This window comes from Homo sapiens, chromosome 5 (assembly GCF_000001405.40).
Source record: "Homo sapiens chromosome 5, GRCh38.p14 Primary Assembly".
NCBI lineage: Eukaryota > Metazoa > Chordata > Mammalia > Primates > Hominidae > Homo > Homo sapiens.
Window position 1 is genome coordinate 51,180,263 of NC_000005.10, and position 9,910 is coordinate 51,190,172.

The 9,910-nt window shown below is 35.4% G+C and overlaps 2 annotated features.

Moving 5' to 3' along the window:
- Positions 5,376-6,382: an enhancer, noted in NCBI's record as "VISTA enhancer hs586". NCBI's record gives its function as "enhancer in: nose[5/8]" and the evidence as "EXISTENCE:transgenic organism evidence [ECO:0001131][PMID:17130149]".
- Positions 7,617-8,155: an enhancer, noted in NCBI's record as "OCT4-NANOG hESC enhancer chr5:50483713-50484251 (GRCh37/hg19 assembly coordinates)". NCBI's record gives its function as "activates a minimal SCP1, AML or CMV promoter by ChIP-STARR-seq in naive H9 embryonic stem cells {active_cell/tissue: H9 hESC(naive)}" and the evidence as "EXISTENCE:reporter gene assay evidence [ECO:0000049][PMID:30033119]".

A 9,910-nucleotide genomic window follows, 5' to 3' on the forward strand; every position in this document is an offset into this window, starting at 1 on the left:
GTTACAGGTACTAGTTGAATGAACACATGAATGAATGCTTTGTTGAAGTTGACTTCTCTCTTTTTCAGGTAGGGAGGCCCAGATTGAAAGTTGTGAGTGGGAGAACCATGTGAGGGTGATAGGCTGGAGACGAGAAGATGAGGTGCTGAAAAAGATATTATTCAGTTAACAAATTCTACATTAATATCAATGTATCCTCAATTTGTGACCATTTTAACCCTGACATTAAAGGAGGCCAGCCAGGACCCTAACAAACAGAGTATTTCCCAGATACCCTTTAGAAACTGTCAGCATCCTCAGACTGCTTTTCCCATCTTAGAGTCTTAGTTCTGTCCTCTCCTTTTGCTAAAGAAGTGCCCACATGACATCCTACAATCACTGGGAAGCAGAGTCACCCCAGCTTAGTGCTCTAATGACTGGTTCCAAATCTCCCTGTTGTGAGACTCCTGTAAAATGAGGAAAGATCTTTGAACCTCAAAGCTTGTAACCCAACTGGTACATAAAAATGTCCTCATTCTCCACAGCTTGCTTTTAACATCTCTGCAATACTGAGGACATCTGTTATTTTTGCCTACCCAATTTTTTCCAGTACCATCATCTTGGAGGACTACTGTCCATCTCTTGGCTAAAGTCAGGGACATCACCCAAATTAGACTTCCTGAATCTTAATCTTGACGAAAGTGTCACAAAAATGAAAATCTTTCAGAATTCAGTGGAGCCCGAAAGATAGTGGTGAGATTTGGGGCAAGTTACTTAACTTCTCTATGTCTCAATTTCCTTATGGTAATAATACTAATAATACCTATCATATTGCATTGTGGTGTGGATTACGGATGCTAATACATGTAACACTTAGAACAGGGCCAGGTACAGAAAAAGTGCTAAATAAGTGTTATCAATAAGTAATATAGCTATTCGAGTTTTGAAGCTGCCATATTCTTGTCCATTATGTGGCCTGACTGTACAGTTTTTCCTTCAGCTTTCTGGGTTACTCCCATTCCCTTCCAATGAACATTGTTTTTAGCTGAAATTGGCCTGCGTTGGTTTGTGTTGCTTGCTACCAGAAAACCCTAATGGCTGTTTCTCTCACACACCATAGGCCTTTTCTCCCCAAAGTGTTTATTAGACCCTAGAGAGCAATAACCATATATTATTAATGTCTGCGTCATCTAGAACACCAAGAGTGGTGCTTTGTATGTAGAAATATTCATTTCAGTGACTGGAAGACCAAAGACATGAATAATACCACTGACCTCTTTTTTTAGGGCTTTACCACAATTTTTTTTAGCAATAAAAATCTGAACTAAGAACATCATGATCTCCTTCAGAGGCCTAACAGCTGCCATCACCAAATATTTAACTTTCCAGGGAGGCAACTAGTGCAAGGGAAAGAGAGCTCTGGAGTCCCACGGGCCTGTGCTCCCTTTCTCACCCTGCCACTTACTCCCCAAGTGACCTTAGGTAAATAACCTAAACTCTCTGAGTTTCAGTTTCCTTATCTGTAAAATGGAGATAATAAAATGTATCCCACAGGGACTTGGAAACCCACAGAACAGATTATATAAGCCATGCTGGATCCTCTATTCAGCTAATACTCTTATTTTTTGGAAGTGTTCTGAAAGTGCACAGGAAGAAACAGAAAATTAAACTTTTAATGAAAATAAGTTATTTATAGGAGTATACGACTTGACCTGCAACTGAAATGTAAACAAATCCTGCTTGGTTAAAGGAACAACAAAAAGTGAAGGGAACAGGAAATTAAGTTTTTGGGTTGGGGCTTTCAAATGGTGCCATTTTACCATGAATGCAGAACTAAATGCAGCTTTTTTGTTTGTTTTTGTTTTTTACAATTATTACTTATCCAGCACCCAACAGATTTCATTTTCATGTATATTTTGTATCGTACTCACTTAAAAAGAAGCTCATCTAAAATTTACTAAAGGATAAATCTTAGTTGTTGAGAACTCGACTCCTCTCTGATTAGTTTTATGAACACATTTTGATAGCAGAAACATTTTGTTTTAAGCTTCCTTTTATTATCCTTGTTTGTTTGCATCTTTATTCTTCCAAATTGTTTATATTATTTTTGAATGATAGAAATACTATAACTATGTAAAACTATTTGGAAATTTAAAAATAGAAACTATTGCTAATAATGTCACTATTCTAAGTTGTTTCCTTTTAGTAGATTTTTTCTTTTCTCTTTATTTAATTGAAATGTATTCTAGCCTAATTTTTAAATTTAAGGCATGATAAGCATTTTCTATCTCTATAGTTTTCTAACAGTAAATTTTTCTAGCTACAAATCTTAAAACTGAATAGATATTTGGACTATCTACCTTAAAAATCTTTTTGCTCTTGTTTTAATTATTTTTATAAATCTGCTTGTATTTTGACTTCAATATAAGTCTGATTTTGAAAGTTTAATGATATTTAAAAGCTGGTAATACACATTAAGGCACATACCTTGTTGATACTCAAAGATATTCATCTGCAGACATAGAAGCACTTCATGAAAAAATTTCATTTATATTTGCGTTATGGAAAATCTTGGAGACAAGAACAGTAAGTGCCTCTTTGATTATCAGAACCACTGCCAACTTTGAGATACGAGTGATTACAATATGTAGATTTTCTATTTCCCCTAGTGTTTCTCCTAGCTCCTAATTTTTCTGTTGGTAAAGGTGGAGCTGGTGAGGGAGTCTGGGAAAGGGTATGCTTTAGTGATCTATCTCATAATTATATCATAACTAGAATCTAGCTTTTATTTTTAATGTTATTTAGCATGATTTTGGAAAGCAGTTAATAGAGATTTTGGCTGTTTAAAAGACCTTGCCTCATGCCTGTAATCCCAGCACTTTGGGAGGCCAAGGCAGGCGGATTACTTGAGGTCAGGAATTTGAGACCAGCCTGGCCAACATGGTGAAACCCCGTCTCTACTTAAAATACAAAAATTAGCCATGCATGGTGGCGCACGCCTGTAGTCCCAGCTACTCTGGAGGCTGAGGCAGGAGAATTGCTTGAACCCGGGAAACGAAGGTTGCAGTGAGCCGGGATCGCGCCACTGTACTCCAGCCTGGGCGTTGTAGCCAGACTCCATCTCAAAAAACAAAAAAAAAGCCCTTGCCCTTCCAAATCATGCCTTACTGCTGACTAGACAGGTGCATTCTCTGATAAATGCAGTCGCATACAGACACAGAGTGGAAGAATATAATAGGGCTCCCAATCCACACACTGGGGGCAGGGAAGGAGAAAGTGCATCTTCATCAGAGATTTACATTTGGTAGAAATCAGGGTGGGGACAGGAAGATGGAGACTGAGCACAGAGGGAAGTTTCCACAGAAAGAGAACAGCAACTTCAAGGACCTGGAGGTAGAAGATAGCAGGGCAAGTGCCTTCTGGAAATTATAGTGTGGAGTGAGGGCAGGGATATCCAAGAGTAGGGAGGCAAAAACGAGAGACCACAAGGACTTCATACTTCTTTTATAGTTAGTTTCAGGATGGCTCAGTGCTGAGTACACAGCATGTTTACTCTCATTATTTATTCAGAAAATATTTATTGGTCACTCAGCAATATGCCAGGGACACAAAAATAAACAAGACTTCTGTTCTTGTAGAAATTGCAACTTTAAAAGAAGACATATATTAATTAATCATATAACCACACAAAGAAACATGAAATTAAATGTGGTACTCTGTGTTGAAAAGGAAGACTTGATTATTCTGAGAACTCAGGAAAGCTTTCTTATGAAAGGATAAGTAAGAATGGACTAAACCATGAGGAAGAGAAGAGCATTCCAAATGGAGAAAACCATATGTGCATGGGTCCTGGGGTAAGCACACCAAATGATACAAACTGAAAAAGAGATCCGTTAAATGCAGGTGACTGAGTGGGATATGGGGCAGGGAAATGCAGTGGAACCATATTAAGAAATTGTCAGTATTCTAAAAGCAACAGACATTGAAGAGTTCTAAACTGAGTGGTGACATGACTAGATATGTGTTTTGTAAAAGTTACTCCAGCTACATTGTAGAAAATAAGTTTAAAGTCTGAAAGAATATACTTCATGATAACCCAGAATAGAAGTTTAACATCTTGGATTTGGGAGGTAGAGTTTATTATCAAGCAATTTGGAATATAGGGAGAAATATTTAGAAGATAAATAGCCACAGGGGCTAATGGATTAGACATGGGGGTCAGGGAGAAGAAGTAGTAAATGTTTTATCATTTGATTTCCATCTGGTTTCTTTATCATAAGATTTTTAATGTCTATTTTCTTACCTCTTGCTTCTTTGAAAAACATGTAAGTTCAAATGTTCATGCTTTCAGTAGTTAGTATCAAGCTCTTGCTAGGTCTCTGCACCATGCTAGTTAGTAAATAACATATAAAGATGAATAAGTGAGTAAGACACTATCCTGCCACTTTAAGTGTAGGAGAGGTGCAGCCCAAGATCCCATTCTGTTTGACAGCAAGCTTCGTTGCAAGGTGGTCATAAAGTCATATTTTGTAAAATTGGCAGTTTGGAATTCATAGTGATAAAGTCATATTTCTCTAAATGTGGACACATATGAAGAAGTTTAATCATTAAGCCATGTTTCTATAGATTGGGTAAATATATGCAAAATAACACTGAGTTATTTGCTTGCTGTGAAAACCCACTAATTGTCTCTTTGAGTGGTCTGACTGCACCTTTCACACAAGGAGGTTTTGACAATCATAATTCTTCAAACTATGCCAATACCATAATCAAAGTGTTTACTCCATTTATATTTTAATCTGTTTATATTTGCCATTTTTGTATATTCACACTATTTCCTTTGTTTCTGTCTTTAGATAATATATAGGTCATTCTTTCACTTTTGTACTCTAAGGATGCCAGATTGAGGCCACACATGGAGAGCGACTACCAGCTCCTCCTTTTTGCTTTCCTTTCTTAAGATGTTCAATTTGCCAGTTGATTAAGATTTTGCTTTCTAGACAACTCTCCATAAACAGTTGGTAGAAAACAGTGGATGCTGCTTTGTTCATACTCTGGAAAAACTCTTGTATATTCACAAGTGCTCATGGTAGAACTACAGAAGTTTCCCTTGCTTACATCAAGAGCTTTTAACAATTGTAGCATACTTTCTTTAGTTTGCCCACACGTGTGACATTTAGGAGGAAATCGAAACATGGTAGAACCTGTTAAAATAAACAAACACCATATTAGAACAGAATTGGTAAAACACTGAGCGAATCACCCAAAATAAAAATCTCATGGATCAATTTTATTTTCATACGTAAATATTTAAAACTCCACAGAAAGAAAATATTCATATGTATCTTTTAGTAATGCTTGTTAGCTGTCCTTATTAATACCTGCTTCACAAGCCTTGAGGGCATCCGTTCTAAAATAGGAAAAACATAATCTGTATGCGAGGAAAACTACAAAGAAGCAATAAATTATTGCTGTAATGACATGCTAATTAAAATTTTGCTTGTAACTCATGTAAGTGTTTGAAGCCCAGCAAATTTCTCTTTTCATTTGTGAAGTGTGAAGGTAAATTGCCCAGTGACAGTGGGACATCGCTAACAAGTACAAATTGAATAACATGCTATCTTGCTCTATTAGCCCTGACTAGCATGTCTGAATTAGATATTCAGCGCACTCCCCATTGTAGGCCTGATTGATAAATGCTAAGGAGAATTTGTCAAAACAACAGGGGCTACACCCAGTGGGACATCAATATGCTCCATTTAGTCACCCCCACAGCACTTCCTACATAGGATTGTCACATAAAATTAAGACTAGCCGCTAACCAGCCATCAAGCTTGTAGCAGACGTCAGGCAGCCTGTGTTCTGTATGCATATTAGTCACATGCTTAACAATTTGGGCTGTCAGGACAGAAGCATGCAGTGACCTCTGGAGCAGAGGTTGAATTTTGCAGCTATACCAAAACATCATGCTCAGCTGTTCAAGATTTTAGACCATTTCCTGCCAGATCTGTGCACAGATGCAGTGCCCTAAGCTATAATCTGTAGCAGCGTCCAAATGGCAAATGGCACCAGGAAGATTATTGCATTATATATTAAGTACCACAAGTCTGTAAATTATAAGTAAACTACTGTTCAGACTGTCTCCTCCAGCTTTCAGGATACTTTCCCTTTTCATTCTTTTTAAAATAAACCTAATAAATATTGGGTGAACTGGAGATCAAAGCCCAGAGTTTGAATTAGCCATCTCCATTGCTAATTAGCTGCTTGAATATCAAACAGTTTTGGACCAGCTGTAATTTAATAAGCCATGATTGAGGTTGGCCTGATTTTGTTTCCCATTGAAAATTCTTCTCAGGTGCAAGTTTGTATGATTTTAGAATTCATGGTGATAAGTTGTTTTTGGTATTTCCCTTGTAAACATAATTAACCATAAATACAGAAAAACACTAATAAAAGTCACTGGGATCTAACAGAATCTTTATTTGACCTGTTTTCTTATTTCTGTTGCATTATATTTAGGCTCCTTACAAAGGAGGTTATCTGCTAATCAAATAAAGAATTAACTAAAATATAATAAAGTCATATGTTTGAAATAAAAGGTATTCTCTGCAAAATATGTTTTAATATTTTTTAACTCAGTATATATTGTGTAAATGAGAAGCTTGTCATTCTCTAATTTGTCATTAAGCACTGGAGCTAGGATGTCTTTTGAAAATAAATTGCTTAAGCTTCCATTTATAAATAGCATAATAAACCATATTTTCTGAGGTATTAAAAAGAATATATCAAATAGCTCTTATTTTACAGACTATACATCTGTTGGAACTCAAGAGAATTTTTTCTGAGTTGAACGTTTAAACATCAAATACTGAACATTTTTCTCTATATATTCTGGGATCCTTGCTTTTATTCTGAGAACCAAAGCAAAATTATCCAAGTAGCATTAGAAGTATATTTCTTGTGGCACTTCTATGGAATTTAGTTATAAGAAATATATGAAATATGATGAAAAATCTATTGTTAGACTTGCGCAGTATTTCTTCTTTCTGGGACATAAAGGCAAGACATTTAACCTGCTACTACTATTCTGTCTTTTTCATTTCAGAGACAGCACATGAGTAAAATCTTGCCTTTTGACACCTTCTAGATTTTATACATTCTAGAGTTCAAAAAATTTTGACTTTTTGATAGTTTCAGTTTTATTGCTATTATAACCATACGATAAATTGACTCGTAGGATTCCTCCCAGAAAAATGCTAATTTTTCATGAAAATCAATGACATTAAATTCCTTAGCATATATAAATTTTAATTTTCAAAAAAACTCATTTAACTTTTAAAAAAATCATTTAATTAAAAAAATTGGTGAGCTGCAGTCTGTTTATGGTTTTATGTTAAACTATATAGTAAGCCTAAGTAGGAGGGCTATATAGAGAACCTGAAACAAAGTTTGTTCAATGCCATTCAAGTGACAACCACAAAGCTAATGATAGTTTAAACAATGGCTACACACCACCATATTGCTGGAGATTATTACAAGGCTTATTAAGAAAAGGAAGACATAGGTGAACACTTAGTAGTTAAGCTGAGCAGGTAGAAACCTTTTTTCTTTAAAGGTTTTTTTCTTCAAATTTTTTTAAGTTGAGAACTATCTCAGTGCTGTAGGATATCTCACATTTATTAAAGCTGGAGGGAACAACCAACTCTATTTCTAAGAAATGGCCACTTTAAATTATTCAACAACATTTAGCTCAAAAAATTTCAGTTATGATGAATTTTATACATTCCGCTTTCACTCCCCCACGTCTCCCCAATCTTCTAGTTTGAACAGAAAAACAAAGGACAGCAGGGTCCCTTTCGCCTCAGGCAACAGTCTGTTGATGGATATTGTAGCAGCTGAATTGCTCCCCATTCACATTCTAAACCCTTTCTCCTAATTGTCGTCTGTATCATCAATGTCACTAACTGAGACCACTGCCACAATTCTACAGCCCTTTGGAGCAATATTGCCTTGGCTTTTTCTCCTGGGGCTTGCTTCTTGCTTGGTGCAATCTGTGAAGCCACTTAGCACAGGATCTTGTTGACTTATAACAGGTACCAGATGATGCATCCAGACCTCTAGCCTAGTTTTATGCTCTCATGGCTTGTGTGCCTGCCACTAGTGTGTGTGTGTGTGTGTGCGCACAGATGTCAGAGGATAGATGATGCTTCTGCTGCCATTTTCATGCAAGAGCTTCAGGTTGGTGGGAAGAAATTCAATAGTACATGAGAAAATCTGATGTCTAAGAGAAATCGTGTTCTTGTGTTTGATGGCTTTGTGTACTCTTTTTTAAACCCAGCCCAGAATTCTCACGAAGCATATTTATACTGCTATATCACTGTGATGCTTTAGGAAATAAAATGTAATTGCCTCCCTCTTTCCACTGATTTCCTTGATCTTTAAATACTCTACCTTGTCCTCACAGTTCATAAAAATAAGTTTAAGGAAAAATTATTCACATGAATAAGTTATATATAAGGATTTGGAAAGAAAGTACTCCCAAGTGGCTATTTTTTATAATAACAATTTTTATTAATAGCAATAGTGTTATCTTGGTGAGAAAATAAAATTTATTTTCCCATAAATTTATACAGAAGATTTCTTCTTAAAGTTCAAACTTGTATTAAACTAAAGTTCATCTACAAACATACATAATGTAATTTGAGAAAAATTATATTAAATGTTTATACAATTGTTATATCTCCTAATAAATAAAATTTATATATATATAAAATAAAATTAACTTATGCAATATACATGTAACTCAAAAAATACATCAGCAATTAAACCAACTGTATTTGTTTTAAAAATACAGGTAATGATGTATACAGGTCATTATGCATCTGTGTTTTCTATAGCTGAACTTCCATTATTTCAGTTATAAATTTTGTTTTCTTTATTGAGATTATTTTAGTAATTACCGTCTTCCCCCATATGATTGTAAATTCTATGAAAGAATCATGTCTTCTTTTTACTCACCTTTGTTATCCACAGTGCCTTACAAAAAATGTCTAGTTCATTGTAAGTTTCACAAGTATTGGTAGACTTAATATACGAATGAATGAATCAATCAATGAATCAATGAATGAATTAGTGAATGAAGGAATATATAAAATAACTGGAATTCCTGGAAAATTTTTAGCACTTGAAATGGAAGCCTTTTACAGGAACCTCAACAAGAATGTGGATAATCCTAAATGTTGCTGTGGGCTCATAGTGCTGTCTCTGTTTGGAATATCATACAGCCTTCAATCTCCTTTGAAACTTTTAACATAGTTCCAAGCTTTGAATCCCATCAACTTCAGAGGAAACTCTCACTTTAGGTGATCTCTTTGAACAACAAAGCACAATAAGATAATTCCTAGGATGACTTTACTCTTCAGGAGGGATTCTGATATCTTACTCTCTTTCACTGTATCTACAGAATGCCACTTCAGTTGGAATATTTTTTAAGTATGGGCCTTTATAAAACATTTATCCTCTCAAAATATGCAAGAAAACATGGCATTTTTTAATAAGGTGAATAGAGTGAAATAGAGTTATACGCTAGTTTCTGTATTTTCAAACAATGTTACTCATAATGGATTTGATTTTTTTCCCCACATCTTGATCCAAAATGGAGAATTTCATCATTTCTCTCTTTTCCCACTTCTGTGATGATTTTCTATACAGATTAGATTACAGTAATATCCTTTTGCCTAGGGTGTCCCCTGAGGGCCACCCAAGAGCTTTCCTTCCTACAAATGGTAACAGCCTATGGTTCTAGTGTGTTTTTGCCTAAAGCATATAGTGCTTATGAAATATAAGGGTTCTCTGTCCTGTAGTTCATTTCATATGGTTATGAAATTGTTTCAAAAGCTTTCTGAATATGGTCAGTATGATGTTTCTAACT